This window comes from Homo sapiens, chromosome 2, assembly GCF_000001405.40.
Source record: "Homo sapiens chromosome 2, GRCh38.p14 Primary Assembly".
In the NCBI taxonomy this organism is placed as follows: domain Eukaryota; kingdom Metazoa; phylum Chordata; class Mammalia; order Primates; family Hominidae; genus Homo; species Homo sapiens.
The window spans coordinates 100,633,846-100,653,671 of NC_000002.12; the positions used below are offsets into that span (position 1 = coordinate 100,633,846).

General features: G+C 43.6%; 1 long non-coding RNA gene across 2 annotated transcripts, besides 2 other annotated features; it reads right to left on the reverse strand.

The window, feature by feature from the left end:
• Positions 1–6,320: 6,320 nt before the first annotated feature.
• LOC107985814 (uncharacterized) lies at positions 6,321–19,480 on the reverse strand. Of its 2 annotated transcripts, XR_001739198.1 has the most exons (5): positions 19,287–19,480; positions 18,663–18,774; positions 18,063–18,144; positions 12,397–12,454; positions 6,321–7,756 (listed from the first exon to the last, which is right to left on the reverse strand). It is a non-coding gene; the product is annotated as an uncharacterized LOC107985814 (long non-coding RNA). The 2 variants fall into 2 exon arrangements; XR_001739199.1 differs by lacking the exon at positions 18,063–18,144.
• Positions 8,445–8,945: an enhancer, noted in NCBI's record as "H3K4me1 hESC enhancer chr2:101258752-101259252 (GRCh37/hg19 assembly coordinates)". NCBI's record gives its function as "activates a minimal SCP1, AML or CMV promoter by ChIP-STARR-seq in primed H9 embryonic stem cells {active_cell/tissue: H9 hESC(primed)}" and the evidence as "EXISTENCE:reporter gene assay evidence [ECO:0000049][PMID:30033119]".
• Positions 8,946–9,446: an enhancer, noted in NCBI's record as "H3K4me1 hESC enhancer chr2:101259253-101259753 (GRCh37/hg19 assembly coordinates)". NCBI's record gives its function as "activates a minimal SCP1, AML or CMV promoter by ChIP-STARR-seq in primed H9 embryonic stem cells {active_cell/tissue: H9 hESC(primed)}" and the evidence as "EXISTENCE:reporter gene assay evidence [ECO:0000049][PMID:30033119]".
• Positions 19,481–19,826: the final 346 nt, after the last annotated feature.

A 19,826-nucleotide genomic window follows, 5' to 3' on the forward strand; every position in this document is an offset into this window, starting at 1 on the left:
GATCCTGCTACGTCAGCTTCCCAAAGTGTTGAGATTATAGGCATGAATCACCAAGCCTGGCCTGCAGGTTTAGTTTTATAAGAGACTTCCAAATTGTTTTCCAGAGTGCCATTTTACATTCTCACCAACAGTGTATGAGCGATCCAGATTATCCTCATCCTTGCCAGCTTTTTGTATTGTTGCTATTTTTTATTTTAGTCATTGTGACAAGTGTGTAGTGATATCTCATTGTGTTTTTTTCTTTTTTGGGGGGGGTCGCGGGTGGGGCAGTCTCACCCTGTTGCCCAGGCTGGAGTGCAGTGACACAATCTTGGCTCACTGCAACCTCTGACTCCTGGGTTCTCATGCCTCAGCCACCCGGGTAGCTGGGATTACAGGCACATGCCACCATGCTGAGCTAATTTTTGTATTTTAGTCGAGACGAGATTTCACCATGTTGGCCAGGCTGGTCTTGAACTCCTGACCTCAAGTGATCCGCCCACCTTGGCCTTCCAAAGTGCTGGGATTACAGACATGAGCCACTGCTCCAGGCTTCATTGTGATTTTAATTTGAAATTCTTTAACGGCTAACAGTGTTGAATATCTTTCCACGTGCTTATTTGCCATCTGTATATCTTCTTTGGTGAAATGTCTGTGTATATCTTTTGCCCATTTTTAAATGGGATTGTTTGGTATTTACTGTTGAGTTTTGAGCATTCTTTTTATATTCTAGATACTAGTCCTTTGTTGAATATATGGTTTGCAAATATTTTCTCCCAGTCTATAGCTTGTCTTTTCATCCTCTTAACATGAGCTTTCACAGAGCAAAAGTTTTTAGCTTTGGTGAGGTCCAATTCGTCAATTTTTTCCTTTTATAGATCATGCTTTTGGTGTCAAGTCTAAGAACTTTTTGCATAGTCCTACTTTTTAAAGACTTTCGCCCATATGTTTTTCTAACAGTTTTATAGTTTTACATTTTACATTTAAGTCTATGATCCAAATTGAGTTAATTTTGTATAAAGTGTGAAGTTTAGGTCGTAATTCACTTGTTTGGCCTACAAGAGTCCCATTGCTCCAGCATTATCTATTGAAAAGGCAATTCATCCTTTATTGAATTGCCTTTGTACCTTGTTAAAAATCAGATGGGCATGTATTTGTGTGGGTTTGTTTTTGAGTTTATTATTCCATTGATCTATGGTCCATCCCTCTGTAATACAATGCTATCTTGATTACTATAGTTACATAGAGGTCTTAATAATGGGCAGAATGAGTCCTCTCACTTTATTTTTATTTGTCAGAATCGTTTTAACTATTCTAGAGCCTGTACTTTACCATACATACTTTAGACTAAGTTTGTCAATATCTACAGAAAACTTTCCTGGGATTTAGGTAGCAATTGCTTTAAACCTATAGATCAATTTAGGGAAAATTGACATATTTATTATGTTGAGTTTTCCAATCTGAGAACACAGTAAGTATGCCTCTCCATTTATTTAGGCTTTTTAAAATTTCTTTCATCAACATTTTATAATTTCCAATATAAACATCTTGTACATGTTTTGTTAAAAGGACACCTAACTATTCATCTTCTTAGGAGTGACTGTAAATAGTATTGTATTTTTTATTGCAGTTCTTACATTTTTATAGTTAGTATATAGAAATGGAATTCATTTTTGTTAATCTTGTATCCTGTGACATTGCTGAACTCACTTATTAGTTCTAAACATTTTTTCATAGATTCCTGGGGATATTCTGTAGAGACAATCATATCTCCTATGAATATAGTTTTAGTGCTCTGTTTTCTATGTGTATGTATTTTATGTCTTGTCTTTACTGAGACTTCATTGGTTATAACTTCCAGTACTATGTTGAATAAGGGTGGTAAGAATGGGCATTGTCTTGTTCTTGATCTTAGGAGGAAAGCATTCAGTCTTTCCCCATTAAGTAGGATTTTGTGGATTTTTTTTTGTAGGTACCCTTTATCAGTTGAGAAAATTCCCTTCCATTCCTAACTTGCTGAAATTTTTATTATGAATAAAATTAGAGTTTTGTCAATTGCTATTTTTGTGTCAATTGATATGATATGATATTTCTACTTTAGCTTATTGATGTGATGCCTAACTTTCAATTATTTTTTGAATGTCAAAATAGCCTTGCATATCTGATAGAAATCACACTTGTTTATGGTATATAATTCTTTTTATACATTATTGGATGAAGTTTGTGGATATCTTGTTGAGAATTCAACATCTAACTTCCTGTGACTTGTCGGTTTGTAATCTTCTTTGTACTGTCTTTTCCTGGTGTTTGTATTAGGGTAATACTGACCACGTAAAATGAGTTTTTAAATGTTCTCTCCTGTTTTACTTACTGGAGGAGATCGTGTAAAATTGGTGTCAATTCTTCTTTAAATGTTTGGTAGAATTCTCCAGTGAAACCATGTGAGCCTAGAGATTTCTATCTTAAGAGCTTTTCATTTACTAATTTAATTTTCTTCATGGTTATAGGGTTATTCTGACTGTCAATTTCATCTTGGTTGACTTGGTAGTTTGTTGTTTCAAGGAATTAGTCCACTTCTTTTAAGTTGTCAAATATGTGAGTTTAATGTTAGTCATAGTGGTCCCTTGTTTGAAATGGTTGCAGAATCTATAGTGATATATCTCATTTCATTCCCGACATTGGTGATTTGTGTCTCCTCTCATTATATTTTTGTCAGTCTTGTTAGAGGTTTATCAATTTTATTGATTGATTCTAAAGAACCAGTTTCTGTTGTCAATTTTCTCTATTATTTTCTTTTCCTATTCTCAATTTCATTGATTTCCACTCATATTTATTTTCTTTCTTTTGCTTGTATTGGTTTTATTTTGCTCTTTTCTTTCTAGTTTCTTGAAGTAGGAACTTAGATTATTAATTTCAGATATTCTTCTTGTGTAATATAACATTATTGCCAAAAATTTCCTCACAGTACTGCTTTAACTGCATTCCACAAATTTTCATAGGTTGTATTTTCATTTCATTCAGTTCTGCGTATCTTTAAAATTTTCCTTGTAGGCTTTCTTTCAACCCACAGATTATTTATAAGTATGTTGTTCAATTACTCCTTGCTTGTTATTTTCCTGTTGTTTTTCTATTATTGATTTCTTGTTTGATTCCATTATGACTGGGTATCACACTACATGATTTCAATTCTTTAAAATTATTTGAGGGGCTGGGCACAGTGGCTCACGTCTGGAACTCCAATGATAGGAATCTTGGATCTTCTCTTATTGTCTCAAAGGTCTCTGAGTCTCTGGTCTTTTTTTCAGTCAATTTTCTCATTGTTTTTCAGATTGAGTGAATTCCATTTTTTTTGTCTTCAAGTTCACGTATATCCTCTCTCATCTTCAGTCTACTATTGAGTTCATACAGTAAGTTTAAAAATCTCTGTTATTGTATTTTTCCAGGTCTTCATTTTCATCCGGTACTTTTTTATAACTTCTATCTTTTCTCAGATTTTTAATTTTCATTTTAAGAGAATTTATAACTTGAAGCATTTTATGATGCTACTTTAAAATCCTTGTCAGATAATCTCAACATCTGATTCATCTTGGTGTTGGTGTCAGCTGCCTGTCTTTGCTCCTTTGAGTCGAGATTTTTTATTTTGGTTCTTGGCATAAATGGTGAGTTTTTAATTATATCTTGGATATCTTGTCTGTTATGTCAGGAGAGTCTGGGTCCTATATAAATATTTCATATTAGCAGTCAGGTACCCTATTTAGGTTTAGCACATGCATCTCGCCTTACCTTATGGACTCTGGTTCTAATGTTAGTTTGATTTCCAGAGCCTTTGGTCTGCTAGGTTTCTCTGGTGCTTCTGGATATCCCATTGGTCCCTGATGATGCTGCCTGAGTGGGTAGAAGGGCTTTCCCTTGTCATGGAAATTCAGTTTCTTTCAGTGGGTGGTGTCCCCCGACCTGCACTCCCCCTATTCCTTTCCTTGGTATTTCTGGGTAGGGAAGGCAATTCTCTTAAAAAGCAAGAAAGTGGTGAGGAGAGAAGATGATCTAGGAGCAAGCCTTAGGAACCTCAACATTTAAACATTGTAGTGGAGGAGCTGCTGGCAATAGAAAAGGAGGGACAGGATAACAGAAGTGCTGGGAGTGAGTATTTCAGAAGCAAGAGAAGAGAGTATTTCAAGAAGGAGAGCATGGACAGCCATGCCAAAGGCTGTTGAAAAGTCACGTAGGATGAACACTGAAAAGTTTCCGCTGGATCGGGCTACATAGCGGTCATCCGTTAGAGCAATTTTGACGGAGAAGTAAGGGTAGAGGCCAGAGTGAAACAGTTTGAAAGTTTAGATGCCCCCTCTAGTTAAGGCTACCCCCGGTTTCTTCCAGCATGGAAAGTGAGAGGGGAATGATGCCTAGAAATCAACGGCATCTCTGCATGAACTAAGGAGGATCTAATGCAACTATAGGAGAGGAGCAGGAGGAAGCTGCTACCGTTTGCACTAAAATCAACAGACGTGAGCTTCCCTGGACCCCAGAGTCACCGGCACCATCCTCCCAGGCTCTGCCCCGTTCTACTGTCCAATTCTCAGGGTCCACCACTGCTCACTGCTGCCCACACAGATCCAGCATCCCTGCAGCCCTCCCCTCTCTGCCAAGGGGTTACCATGCCATCACGGATTATTTCATTCTCTGGCTCTTCCCCAGCACTGTCAAGGTTCCCATTTCACCAACCAATGAATGCAAATGTTTAAAGAATATAACAGCTACTTTTAGAAGGGAATCATCTCTAGAATGATTTTAAAAGTCACTGCCTGTTATAGGAACATTCGTTGAGAGAAAAAGAAATCACCAATTTAGTCTCCCTGGACTGGACAGCAATTCTGAGACGCTGGCTATCTAAATCATTTCCCCCAAAACGCACTGAGAAAACACAAAGAAGGAAAAGTAGTGATTGTTTTTACATGTTTAGTTGGTGAGTTTTATCACAGCACATTAATTTTAGCTAGGTTAACACAGATAGAGTAGAATTCTATCTACGCAATTGGAATTCTATCTACGCAATAGCTTTATAGCCATTGCAGCTACCTTGCAGGCAGTGTGCAAATACCCTTCTCAAGGACCTTTGAAAAGTGAGGTGAAACAGAAGGTGTTGAGATTATTTGCAAATGTGGGTTCTATTCTCAAACTGGCACCAATAAGATGGGTTACTATAAATATTTGACGTAATTATCTGGATCTTGTTTATCGTTTGAAAAAGTGCCTTAAATCATCCCTAAGGTGTGTTTTAGCTCTAATATTATAAGAGTTTCCAAACACTTTTACTATTTAAAATGATTAAAGATTCATGGGTTGTAACCACTTGCTGTTACCTTTTTTTGTTGTTTTTTAATTTGAGAGAGCGTCTCACTCTTTTGCCCAGGCTGGAGTGCTGTAGTACAATCTCGGCTCACTGCAACCTCCACCTCCCAGGTTCAAACGATTCTCCTGCCTCAGCCTTCTAAGTAGCTGGGATTACAGGCTTGTGCCTGCCACCATGATCGGCTAATTTTTTTTTCTTTTGTTGTTGTTGTTGTTTGTATTTTTAGTAGAGACAGAGTTTTGCCACGATGGCCAGGTTGGTCTCGAACTCCTGACCTCAGGTGATCTGCACGCCTCGGCCTCCTAAAGTGCTGGGATTACAGGTGTGAGCCACCATGCCCAGCTTAGCTGTTAACCTTTTCTAAAGCTTACTTTTTGATCAGAGCCCCACCCATAATTGTTAAATGCTTTCCATCGGGAATTGTGTTGTGTGGAAGTTTCCAGAAAAGCAGGGACACTGCCTTCTCAGTCAACTGGCACAGAAATGGCCTACTACAGTTATGCTCCAGTAGGAGCACCTGGCTGTCAGATGAAGGAGGTGCAAGACAATGCAGGCTACTTTCCAGGGAAGCCTAACCCAGGCGAGGAACAACTAGCAGAGCTGAATGCTAGTCTGGCTTCCTCTCTCACCCCCTGCCTCTCTTTTCCTTCCTTTCTTTGTGAAAGGGAGCAAAACAACACTGAGTGAGATAATGCCTGTAAACCTGTAAACCCTGGGCAATATCGTGATAGCCCTGATGGAGAAGCCCAGCGTAGTGACCCCCTGGGGGCAAGAGCAGCCAGCACAGCAGCCCCAGCCCATGGAGCATATTCCCACGGGGCAGCCTGGGAACCAGGACCCGCCTCATGCCCAGACTCCCGTGGGTGGGCCCACTCCTCACTGCCTTCCCCCTTCTGTCAACTGCCAGCTAGAGGCCTTTTCCCTCGCGGAGCCTAGGATGCATCCAGCCCACTTCAAGCCAGTCGCTTTGACACTGCACATTTTATTCCCCTTAAATATATTCATGGCAGCAACAAAGCTTTCAGCACAGAGCAGATGCAGGGTCAGAGCAGAGTGAGCTGGAACGTATTTTTTTCTAGAGCCCGGACTTTCTGAGGCTCTCCTGGACATCATCTGCCCCGCAGCCTTGCTCCAAACCTGGGTGGCACATAGGGCCCAGGGGCCCGGTGGTTAGACACACAGTTTTCTCTCTCATTCTTTCTGTTTCTTTACAGAGATTTCTCAGGATTCTCTTGTTCCTGTTCTACTGAGGATCCTCGAGGTGACCTATATTGTATAGAACCTGGATTGAGAGGCTGCTCACCCCACTGGGCACAATTATCATTTCAAAATGGAATTCCAAGGTCACGTGGTTAGCGTATGAAAGGCTCAGACACGGGCATTCATTGGTAAGTCAGCTGTGGCAGCAGCCGTCTCTGCACAAAACATTTCCCCCTTGAAAAATCTCACGCAAGTTCAAAATAGCTTTACACAATACTTGTGCTTCTCCCAGAGATGTTTTTTCTTTTTTTTTTTAATCCTTGACCTACTTTTTCTGTATGTGCAATACACCTAATGAGTAATAACGACTTCAGAGAGGGTAGCACCAGGGGAAACAAAACTGAATGAATGCCTTGAGAGAATGACTCGGGAGCCCTCAGACTCAACGGACTTTCTTCTCAGGGCAGAAACGAGGGCGTTCGTCTGAACTGTAGGTTTGCTGAAGATTCCTATGGCTGGACGATGCCCCGGCGAAATAGTCAGGATATGACAGAGGTGGCTAGCAGTGGGAGCCAGACAGAGGGACTGACACACACGTGCACACACTTGCACACACTCACACTCTCACGCACACACGTGTTCACAAACCCACCCTATCCCCACCCAAGCTAGACGGTGCTGTAAAGAGAATGCTTTGGGGTCTGGAACGTTCGCTGCCATCTAAAAATGCTCTTCTAAAACAGACTCTGTCAATGACGGGATCCGCACAGAAAGGGAACACGCTTCTCCGCCTCTGGAGTCATAAACCCAAACCCCAGAAGGCTCGGGGGAGGAGAGAAGTGGCCACAGACTTCACTCACACATCGCTCTCCAGTCTGTGCACAGCAAAAACAGCTGCTGCCTCAGCCCCTGAGTGTACGTCAGTCCCTTTGAATGGGAAATCAGAAAAGGTGTCCTTCTAAGCCGGAGATGGGATTCTTGAGAATTACATGAATAAGCGTCTCTTCTCTCGAAACCATCGGCCACTTTTCTTCAGCAAGATTTTTCCCCTAAGCAGGCCTCTGTGATGGAGGAAACACGCAGAGCTGCACTTGCTGAGTCTCTGTCAGGAGCAGGCACTGGGCTGGGGTGATTTCGAACCTCGCAGACGAGTTCAAATCCCACCTCCAGCAGTTGTGGGCTATGAAGTCTTGGGCAAGTCACCTTCTTGAGCCTTAATTTCCATGCCTGTTAAAAGATGATCATAACATCTGACTTCAGTATGGTGAGGGTTAATGATAACTGATATGAAGCCACTTCACACAGAGAATGCTCTCAATAAACGGTAGCTATGGTGATAAGCAAGGCATGGTCCCTGCATTGAGGAAGATGCAATTCGGTGGCCTTGAGGTCAACTCCAAGCCTGCTGGGATTGAGCTGGACCCTGAGGCTTCCTCAGCCCATGACTAGGACCAGGAAGCAAAGCTGTGTGTAGCAGGTGTGGCGGAATGATTGCATTTCAGCTCCAATTTCTCATACCCAATATTTCAGCAGGCAACTTGCTTGACTTTACCCTGCCCCCCTGGCTTTTGTTTGTCTGGAACCCTAAGCTTCTCAAAGGAGAGAGAGAGAGAGAGCGCACCTAGTTCTGGAAAAGAATAGGATAGAGGCTCTCATGAGGATAGACCCTCAGAGGAGAAACACTGTGTGTCCTTCGGGGTCTTGACCCCAGCCCTTGTGGCTGCCAGCATCATCTGAGGGCCCTGGTCCCCTGTGGCCTGGAAGCAGCAGAGTCCCCCCTGTAAAGGACCCCGTGCATGGGGAAAGGACCCCGTGCATGGGGATGAGCTCCTCAGAGGCAACTCCAGGACCTGAAGGCCTGTGGTCTCACCCCTATTTCCTGCCACTTCAAAAGCTGCCTGGTTCTTGTGCCACCCTGGGGGATGGAGGTTGGGGGGTTTGAATAGGGATGGAAAGTAAATATTAGGCCTCTAAGTCAGATTCAACTTGCTTATTCCCACACCTGTGCTCACCTCTGGGAGACACCAGGTTCTCTTCCTGACTGAGGGAGCTGAGTCCTCTGAGGGCTCCTGCCTCCCCCAGAGGGCTGTGAGGCATATGCGGACCTGGGCTCCCAAAGCTGGGCCAAGGAAAACGACCTCTTTCCATGCTTCAACGTCCTGGAAGCTCAGGGAAGTCAGGGCCTGTCTCCTGGCTCAGCAAACACAGCAGGTCTCATTCAAACAGAGCGAGACTACCCCTGCCGGCTGCCTGCCCACAGTGCTCCTGTGGTCGGTCCAAGGCTGCACTGACTCTAGCTTTGTCCTCTCCCCACTGCTGTGCCCATCCCTGACCCTCCTGGGCCAGCTTCAGGTCCCCAGAGCACACCCCTGCTGACCCCTGCTTCGGTGTTGGTACCACTGCAGAGCCAGCAGGCAGGAGGAGCCAACCGGTAGGGGAAATAGCAGGGCAAAGGAGGGAAGACGAGCTGGAACATTTGCCCTGGGGTCAGAGGTCTCCACGCAGACAAGTGCAGCTGGACTAGTTTGCTAGGGCTGCCATGACAGGGTGCCAGGCAGGGCAGCTTAAACAACATTTATTTCTCCCACAATTCTGGAGGCTGGAAGTTCAACAGCAAGGTGTCAGCAGGACTGGTTTCTTCTGAGGCCCCTCTCCTTGGCTCGTAGATGGCCATCTTCATGTTCTAATAGGGAGACCAGCCATACTATATTAGGGCCCACCCTTGTGACCCCATTTTACCTTAACCACCTCTTTCAGGACCCAATCTCCAAATACCGTCACCATCTGTGGGTACTGGGGGTTAGGACTTCACCATGTGAATTTGCTGGGGGACAACATTCAGCCCATAACAGGATCACTGACTGAAACCCTAAGGGGCTGCATGATTTTATTTTCCTCATAGAGAAAAAATCCAGGCCTTCTAGAAAGCTTGACCTTGTTTCTTTCCTTCTTGTTTTGTTCTGTTGTGTAATTAGGGAAAATACTAGAAAAAAAGGAAGGAGTCATATATATATATATATATATATATATATGTATATATACACACACACACATACACACACGCATGTGTTATCATTTTCATTCAATAAAAATATATTTTATTTATTTATTTATTTTATTTATTTATTTTTTGAGAGAGGTTCTGGCTCTGTCACCCAGGCTGGAGTGCAGTGGTGTGATCCTGGCTCACTGCATTCTCAGTCTCCTGAGCAGCTGGAACCACAGGCATGTACCACCACACCCAGCTCTTTTTTTTTTTTTTTTGCGGGTGGTGGGAGGAGAGAGAAGCTCTCACTGTTGCCTAGGCTGGTCTTGAACTCCTGTGCTCAAGTGGTACTCCTGCCACGGCTTCCCAAAGTGCTGGGATTACAGGCATGAACCACCGTGCCTGGTCTCAATGTGTTTTTAGTTGACTTAGAAGAGACCAAATAGCCCCAACCAGGCTGTTTTCCAACTACAAATGAGGATAGGCTCCTGCTAACTGACTCTCCTAGAGGTATCTTTTTTTTTTTTTTTTGGCCCACAGATCAGTGTCTTAACCCCACCCCCTCTGAGATCACCATTCCTTTCATAGGTTTAGCATTAGACCACCCACCACCCCTGCTCCCTTCCTCTCCTCTGTCCCTTCAGGAGGGGAGACCCCATCCCTCCCTGGGAGTTGGCCCATGTAAGGATAGCTGATCGCACCCCCAAGTGGGGTTAGACCATCACTTTGCTACCTCTTATCTCAGCATCAGATCAGCGCTTTCATCAGAATAGGGCCCTACTGTGTGCTCCATTTCCCAAACCCTCTCAGATACATTTGATCTTTGCACGTTTGATCTTTGTGTCTGCGGGAGGAGGAAGGAAGTGAACTTTTACTGAGCTTGCTCCACATTTTAGGCTTATTGTTAGTGGTTTTTGCATCTGTGGTTTCTTTAATCATCATGTCAACCTATGGCATGATTGTGTATCAGAAAAAAAAAAGTTATTATTCTGTGTAACCCTCAACTCAACCCCACCCCACTGATGTGCTGCAGAGGGTAGGGTGCAGTACCAGAGACGTCTGAATATTAATCTATAGAACACATTGATCTACAAGTCACGTTGATCTACAGAACAAAGGGCATGGAGAGCTCAGGAAGAAGAAAATATTTGAGAGTGTGGTGGGGGATGGTGGGGAGTGGAGAGAGAGCCGGTATCCTGTGGAATACAACTTTGAAGAGAGTTTTAGAAAGCCTTGCTGGGGATGTCTGGTGCATTCCGCTCCCTGCTTTGTTATAAAAGAGGATTTCTGACTTGCCTATTTGTGTTTCCTTGGGGGGTATCAGAGTTCAGGCATTGGGCTTGTTACACTCAGGTACAGTTGCTATGAGCACCATTTTATAAATGAGGAAACTGAGGCTCAGAGAGATGAAGTCATTGTTGGTCAGTGAAAGACCCACAGATTAACTTCCAGTTTGTCTAACTGCAGTCACCTGACTGGTTCTTCCTTTCCACAGCGCAGACAAAATCAGCTCACTGAGGCCACGGTATTGCAATAGAGAAAGAGTTTAAATGACGTGAGGCTGACCCACGTGGGAGAACTGGAGTTATTACTCAAATTAGTCTCTCCAAAAGCTTGGATATTAGGGTGTTTTGGATAATTTGGTGGGCAGGGGGCTAGGGAATGGCTGCTGCTGATTGGTTGGGGATGAAATCACAAGGGTGTGGAAAATGGTCCTCGTGCACTGAGTCTGCCTCTACATGGGAGCCACAAGACCTGTTGAGCCATGAGTCATGAGTCCTGGTGGGGTCAGTCTGAAAGATATCTCAAAAACCAATCTTCAGTTCTACAATAGCGATGTTATTTATAGGAGCAATTGGAAAAGTCACAAATCTTGTGACCTCTGGCCACATGACCCCTGAGCAGTAAGGGATTCTAGAAACTATGCCTGTCTTGTCAGAATTCAGGCCCCTCTCTCTCATAATCTTAACCTTGTGACCTTTCATTAGTTTTACAAAGGTGGTTTAGTTTGGGGAAGGGCTATTATCACCTTTGCTTTAAATGTAAACTATAAACTCAATTCCTCCCAAAGTTAGCTTGTCCTATGCCCAGGAATGACCAAGGACAGCTTGGAGATCAGAAGCAAGATGAAGTCAACTATATCAGATTTCCTACTGTCATAAATTTTGCAAAGGCCACAAAGGCCGTTTTGCAATGTAGTACATGGTCGACACTTCATTAATATTTATTTGAGCCCATTTACTTTTTCACATTTTGGCCAGTTAGGAAACAGAGGCATTACTGAGTATTTGGCATTCCCCAGGCCAACCAGCCTTCTGAAGTCCTTAGAGGTGAGAGGACCACCTCCTACTCTTGGCACTAACTGTGCTGTGCTTTGCACACAGAGTTTCATCAATTCCTGGCATCTCCATCCAACTCCCTCTTCTTAACTTGGTCTGGACTTTCTTAAGTCTCAGGAAGGATGTCATCCATTGATTTTACACTGTAGAATGCACACACAGTTACTCTGTGATTTTTCACATTTTCAAGTATTTCCCACTTGCTTTTTATCAACAATGATGTAATAAGACACACTTCTGTAAGTTCTGTTTCCAGGGAGAAGAATGGAAGCTTTGATTTCCTCTCTCAGCTTGACCAGAAAAAAACAGGTCCTAAAAGCCGGCATTCTTTAACTCCAGTGCTAATAATTCCCACTCCTTATTGTGTTTTTAAACCAAAGGGTCAGGTGAAAAAGTAAAGCAAAAATTGCCCCAGAAATCCAAAGAGGGTGGATCTCACATTCAGAGGCCTGCGGGGAACAAAGCCCTGCAGGGATAGACGGTGAGGCCTCCCGCACTGAAGGATGCCAGCTGGAGTCAATGCGGCTGAGTGCTGCACTTACCTCCCAGGGAACAGTGCTCTCCTGACCTTGAGCTCCTCCTTCCTCCCACAGGGGATGCCTGACGGAAGAGGGAGAAAGAAAACTGCTCAAGCAGGGCTCAGATTCTGTCACCTTCTAGCAGAGCTGGCTTAGGAAACAGCGAATTGTGAGCTATAATTTCAGGGATGCTTGGAAGACGCCCTCCCTCAAGCTAAATTATTTCTAGAATTTCCACCATCAACGTTTATTTCTTGGGTAGATGGATTATCTCCCATCAACGTGCAAATGTACCTTGAAAGTTATCACTTGTGCACAGGGAGAACTAATGGGTAGATGGAAGATTCTGGAACTAGACCTGTGTTCTTATCCTGGCTCTTCCATCTCCTACCTGAATGACCTTGTACCAGTACCTGACCTCTCTGAGCATGGGTGTGCTCATGTGACCCTGCCTCATAGAGGTAATGGACTTAAAACCACTTAGGCATAATGCATGCTGGATAAATACTGGCTGCATCCCATCCAATTTAATATGTTGTGTTATCATTTTCATTCAATTCCATGTAGTTTTAAATTTCCTTTGAGAACATTGTAATTCAGAGCCTAAACTCTGAGAGTTAGACTGTCAGGATTTAAATGCCACCACCTCTGCCACTTGCTAGCTGCAAGACCTTGGGCAAGTGAATTAATGGTTCTGTGCCTCAGTTTTCTTTTATGTAAAATGGAATCAAAATTATACCTCCCTCATAAGATTGTGGAGACCAATGACTTGATATAGATAAAGCACTTGGAACAGTGTGTGGCACTTACTACATGAGTATATATTATCTTTAAGCCATCAGTCATTGCCTCTTTCATGCGAATTACCTCATGAGCACATTTCCATTTTGATAGTTAAGCTAAGTGTTTTAAAGAAAACTACATTTTTTTTTTTAGCGTAAATGTTAAGTGGATAAATATTCCCTTGTTTCTTTTGGATTCTTTCCCCTTAGATGTCTTTGGTATATACATTCTCCTTCTCTTCCAATTCCCCAACCCCAAAACCAAAAAACTCCACTGTTGTTTACCTGTTAAAATGACTTACCCTATTAAGTTATAGAACCCAGCAGACATTCCCAAGACAAGATCAAGGTAGCTGGAAGACTACCTCAGAGACAAGCCAGCTACATGATATGTCCTGTACATCTTTAACTTAGCAGTGCCTAGAGGGTCAGAGCAGCAAATACTGCCCTCACTGGCCAGATGATGCTGAAGTGTCTAGGGGACTTGGGATCACTTCCATGTGTTCTTACCACTGTCCCCAAAGATGTGTCTGACTTGCGAAAAATGAAAAAAGCAGCCTGGCTACAAGCTTAGGGGGTCAGATTTGACCTAGTGTTATTTTTTTTCAAACAGTGCCCCTTGGCTCTCTGGGGTTCATGGGAGGAACTCTAAGGATTCTTGAAAATAAAGCCTAATTATTGAAAATAAAGTTCTATGACAGAACTCAGTGTCTCATTTCATTTTACCAGACCCTCCCCCAGCAACCAATCTATAAAATAGAGAAAATTTGTTATTGGCAGAGTCATACCCCCTCTTTTTCATCCCCCTGATGTGGGCAGGACAAGTCTTGGGGTGCCTGCTACTCCCATAGTCCTCTTCCCATGAGTTCCTCCCACTGTGGGCTGCCATGTTGGAACCATGATCATGTGACCACATGGCCACAGCTGATTGGACAGTGGATAGACAGCATGGCCAGTGCCTATTCTGCAGAATCACTCCTTGGGCAGTATGAATATGAAAGAGAGAGAGGCAACTGAGTGGTTGGTCATGGGAAAAGAAACTGAACCTCCATCAGAGAGAAGTAATACTCAGAAACTACGAGTTGGAGAATCTGTGAATAGGTAGAGGCTGTAACTAGCAGAGGTCAGGAGGTAGAGGAAAGAGAAAGAGTAGGTTGCAAGCAGTCATAGTTACAGGGACAGGAGGCAGGGATATTCTGGGCAGAAGCAGGCGGGTCCCCAGTGAGGGTCCAACCCTCAAGCCTGGAACCACAGCCCAAAGTGAGAACATGCATTCCTGTTTTCCTGCTCAAATGTTGCATTTTCCAAAACCACCCATGGCCTGCCCTGTCTCCCATCTTCTGTCCATAAAAACCCTAGGCTGCACTGTCAGAGAGGAGAAGAGGAGAAGTGCAGGACGTCAGAGACTACAGTTGGACATCAGGAAGAAGCAGTTTGACTTCAGAGGGATGGCTTGATGGCATTGCTTCGGACAGGAGTCTAGCTGGGGATGGCTGGACTCCAGGGGAAGATCACCTTCCTGCTCCATCCCCTTTCCAGCTCCCCTTCCTGCTGAGAGCCACTTTCATTGGCAATAAAATCTTTTGCATTCATCACCCTTTAATTCATTTGTACGATCCGATCTTTCCTGGACAGTGAACAAAAGCTCAGGTACCACAGGTACAGATGCAGAAGACTGTCACACTGACCCTCTCACTGGCAGAAAGCAGCCATCTCACGTGAAAAGGCAGAGGGCTCACTGAGCTGTTAACACTTAAACTGTCCATGGACAGCAAAGCTAAAAGAGCGCTGACTGTAACACTCCTTCTGGGGCTTCGGGAGTCATGGGTATTCCCTGCTAGATGCTGCCGCAAGGCCTACATGGAGTTTTGCTTCTGCTGGTGCCCAAAAGCAATCACCCTGGCTCCCACACCCACTCACCTGCATGCTACCTCCCATGAGGGGTTGAGTACAATGGGTTCAAGTGAGTGGAGTTTACCCCCATTGGCACCAAAGCAGCTGGCTAGCTCCAGTGCCCACACTCCGGTTCCCACCCATGAAGGGGTCAGGGAAAATTTCCTGCTTCAATAGGGACAATGGAAGACAGACCCTTAAGAGCTGAGTAAAGGTAAAGGCTAAGGGCATCAGAGGGCTCCTGCTGCTGAGGTGGTGATCACCCTAAGACCACCCTTCCTGGACTACTTCCCTATTTCCATGAGGCCTGGCTGTAAAAATATTTCTGCGGTCCCTTTGAAGCTTGTGCCTGTCATCTATATTCCATCCCTTACTCCAGAGCTGCCCTTATAATAAACACAGCTTACTTAAGCAACCACAGTACAGCTCAGTTTCTTAAAACCTAAGACTAACGTACCTATCGTATGAACCTCTGGGTACTTCTACTCCCCTACTCTTACCTAAGTGCCATACACAACCCAGCTGCCAGTTAGCCCCAGTTGGGCCACTTGTGGTTCAACAAAGGACCCATCTTTCAAGACCCTGTGAAATAAATCAGAAATTATCACCTTTCAGGTGCTGAAATTGGCAGGTGTTGGAAAGGTGGGTGATGTGTGGTATTTGGGGCTAGAAGACATAGCCAGTGACCTTCCACCACACTGCATTGAAAAGCTCTCTATTCCACCTCCTTAAAGCCCAGCCCTGCACAGCTCCCAACCTGGTAGATTAGGGCTGGAAAAGTAACCTAACAAGAGTTTGTCCCATGGTGGTAGAAAGAGAAAATAAAAATCTCCACTAACTGGCTCTTCTCCCATCTCTCTCCCTCTTCTTGTCCCTCCCTATTCCCTGAGTCACAATGATATTGAAATTAGGCTAGTTAATAACCCTACAATGGCCTCTAAATGTTTGAGTGAAAGAAAGGGTCGCATGTCTCTCACTTTAAATTAAAAGCTAGAAATTTTTAAGTTTAATGAGGAAGGCATATTGAAAGCCAAGACTGGCTGAAAGCTATGCCTCTTGCACCAAACAGTCAGTTGAGAGTGCAAAAGATAAGTTCTTGAAGAAAATGAAAAGTACTACTCCAAAGAACACATGAAGATTAAAAAAGAAAAGTGAAACCTTATTATTAGCATTATTGCTGATATGGAGAAAGCATGAATGCTCTGGATAAAGGATCAAACCAGCCACAACATTCCCTTAAGATGAAGCCTAATCCAGGGCAAGGCCCTAACTCTCTTCAGTTCTATGAAGGCTGAGAGAGATGAGGAAGCTGCAGGAGAAAAGTTGAAAGCTAGCAGAGGTCGGTTCATGAGGTTTAAGGAAATAAGCTTTCTCTCTAACAGAAAAGTACAGAAACAGCAAGTGCTGATGTAAAAGCTGTAGCAAGTTATCCAGAAGATCAAACTGAGATATTGATGAAGGTGTTTACACTCAACAACAGATTTTCGATGTAGATGAAATGGCCTTCTGTTGGAATAAGACATTATCTACGTCTTTCAGAGCTAGAGAGAAGTCAATGCCTGGCTTCAAAGCTTCAAAGGACAGGATGACTCTCTTGTTAGAAGCTAATGCAGCTGGTGACTTTAAGTTGAAGTCAATGCACATTTACCATTCCAAAAATGCTAGGGGCCTTAAGAATTATGTTAACTCTTAGCCTTTACTTTCTGCTATAAAAAAGAAAAAGAAAAAAAAGAAAAGAATTATGTGAACTCTACTCAATGTTTTATAAGTGGAATAACAAAGCCTGGCTGACAGCATATCTGTTTACAGCATGGTTTACTGAATTTTTTGAGTCCACTGTTAAGACTTACTGCTCAGAAAAAGAGATTCTTTTCACATTACAGCTTATTGACAATAGAACTGGTTCCCCAAGAGCTCCAATGGACATGTCAAAGGAGATTAAAGTTGTTTTCATGTCTGCTAACACAACATCCATTTTGCAACTCATAAGATCAAGGAGTAATTTCGACTTCAAAATCTTATTTAATAAATTCATTTCATAAGGCTATAGTTGCCATAAATAATGATTCCTCTGATGGATCTGGGCAAAGTAAATTGAAAATTTGGAAAACATTCATCACTCTAGATACCATTAAGAACATTTGTGATTCATGAGAGGAGGTGAAAATATCAACATTGGCCAGGCACGGTAGATCCTAACACTTTGGGAGACTGAGGTGAGAGGATTGCTTGAGCCCAGGAGTTTGAGACCAGCCTGGGCAACAGAGAGAGACCTTGTCATCTCAAAAAACAAACAAACAAACAAACAAACCCACAATATTAATAAGAGTTTGAAACAATAGATGACTTTGAGGGGTTCAAGACTTCAGTGGAGGAAATAACTGCAGATATGGTAGGAACAGCAAGAGAACACTAGAGAACTAGAATTAGAAGTGGAGTCTGAAGATGTGACTGAATTGCTGCAACCTCTTGATAAAACTTGAATGAGTGAGTAGTAGCTTCTTATTGAACAAAGAAAGTGCTTTCTTGAGATAGAATCTACTCAACAAAGTATTCAGAATATTCCCAAATTAATTACTAAGGCAGCAGCAGAGTTTGAGAGTATTGAGCCCAATTTTGAAAAAAAGTTATTCTGTGGATACAATGCTCTCAAACAGCATCACATGCTACAGAGAAATTTTTTGTAACAGGAAGAGCCAATTGATACAGCAAAGTTCATTGTTGTTTTATGTTAAGAAATTGCCACAGTGGCCCACAAATTCATCAGCCACCACCCTGATCAATCAGCAGCCATCAACATTGAGGGAAGACCCTCCACAAGCCAAAAGATTATGACTGGCTGAAGGCTCAGATGATCATTAGCATTTTTTAGCAATAAAGTATATTTTAAAGTTAAGGAATTTAGACTGGTTTTCTAGACATAATGCTATTGCATACTCAATAAACCACAGTATAGTGTAAACATAACTTTCATATGTTTAATGTAACTGGGAAACAGAAACTTGTGTGACTCACTTGATTGTGGTGGTCTGGATCTGAACCCTCGGTATCTCCCAGGTATGCTTGTACTTTCTCCACGGTTTTGTCCTTCAGCCTTCTTGTGGGAAATGGGAGAAATCACAGCTAATGGACACCGAGCTGATGCTTACCAAGCTATTACCATGTCCCGGGCATTGTCCTGAGTGTTTATCACATCCTGATCCTCACAGGAACCCTATGAGATTGGCCCATATTGGCCCCATTTAGAGATGGGACAATTGAGGCACAGAAAGATAACTTTTCGAAGATGGCACAGCTAGGAAGCCACAGAACTGAGATGTGAACCTGCAGGGGCCAACTTTAAAGGCCTGGATTCATCTTCAGGAGTTAACTATAGGATAAAAGCCCTCATCGTCCAACTGTGTGGGTCCAGGGAGCTCAGGGCCCTTCAGAGACAGAGAAGGTGGGCATTTTGTTTTCAAAGTTGTTGAAGTTTCCTCCCAAACATACTATCTAGTGTCTGCCTGATATTCCATCATGTAAACATACCATCACTTCAAACCATTTTCCTGATGTGAAACATTTATGCTGTTCCCAAGTCTTTGGTATTTTGGACAGGAATACCTTTGTACCTACTTCATGGTCTGGTGATCCCTCTCACTCCTTCCTTTTAAACTCTCTACAGCCTCTCTGGGCAACCTGTTGTGGTGGACCATGCCTCTTCATCCTCCTCCGTATTGTCCACCACCTGTGAACAGAACACACAGCAGAGATTCAGCAGTGGCCTCTACCTGTCAGAGCAGGGTTGCCAGGCAAAGTAGAGGAGGCCCAATTATATTTGAAGTTCAGCTAAGTAAGCAATAATTTTTAGTATAAGTATGTCCCCAGTATTTCAGGGGACATACTTATACTAAAGATTGTTTTCTTGTTTATCTACAATCCACATTTAACTGGGCATCCTGTGTTTTTCTGGCAACCCCGTCTCAGAGGGCTTGCTTCTTCCTGCAACAGCAGTTTTAACCAGCTGAGCACTTTATTTCGTTTTTGCCATGGAAGAATTGATTTTCTTTTCCTCTGCTCAGGGTGGGGCAGTGTGGTGCTGGTGCATTTTAAGAATTGAAAATGCTTCAGCGCTTGCAACTTTCCCAAGCTGGTCTTCCCAGCCTCAGAATTGTTACTGTTACTTTTCTGCTTGGTTTAGGCTCTGAGTCCAGATTTGCCACGTTCTATCCCTTAGGCATTGAGAACTTATGAACTTACCTTTGCTTGCATCGGGGTTGTGTTCAGGGACCTCTCCTGGGTTAACTGGCATCCGGGGTCAGAGTGAGGTGGATGAGGAGAAATGCATCAGCCCTCGGCCCCTGGATACTCCGCCAGTGGCTTCACACCTGGGAGTCACAGACCCTGCTGAGTGAAGGTCAGCCACACTGAACAGTCCTTCTGAGAATGGGCTTTTTAACCAGCAGAGAGAGTGGTCACCAATAGAACACCAGGCCTTGACGATTGGAGGACTTAGCACAAAAGAAGGTGGGAGGGAGGACAGAGGACAGGGAAGCCTGCTTGGTGTCCTGTGGTGGTCCAGCAGAAGGACAGAAGTGTCCAGAGCGCTCCCAAACGGAGGCAAGCTGCATCTGCTCCAGGAAGGCTTTCTTGATAGAAAAAGAGGGGGCAGCATCCTCTCATTTATCCCCCGCCTCTCCCAGAGGGCATGCCTGGGCCAAGGCTCACCTGGCTTCATGTGTGATCTGTGTCTGTATTCACCCTACATCAGCTCAGTTCAACACATCTTTCTGAGCACCT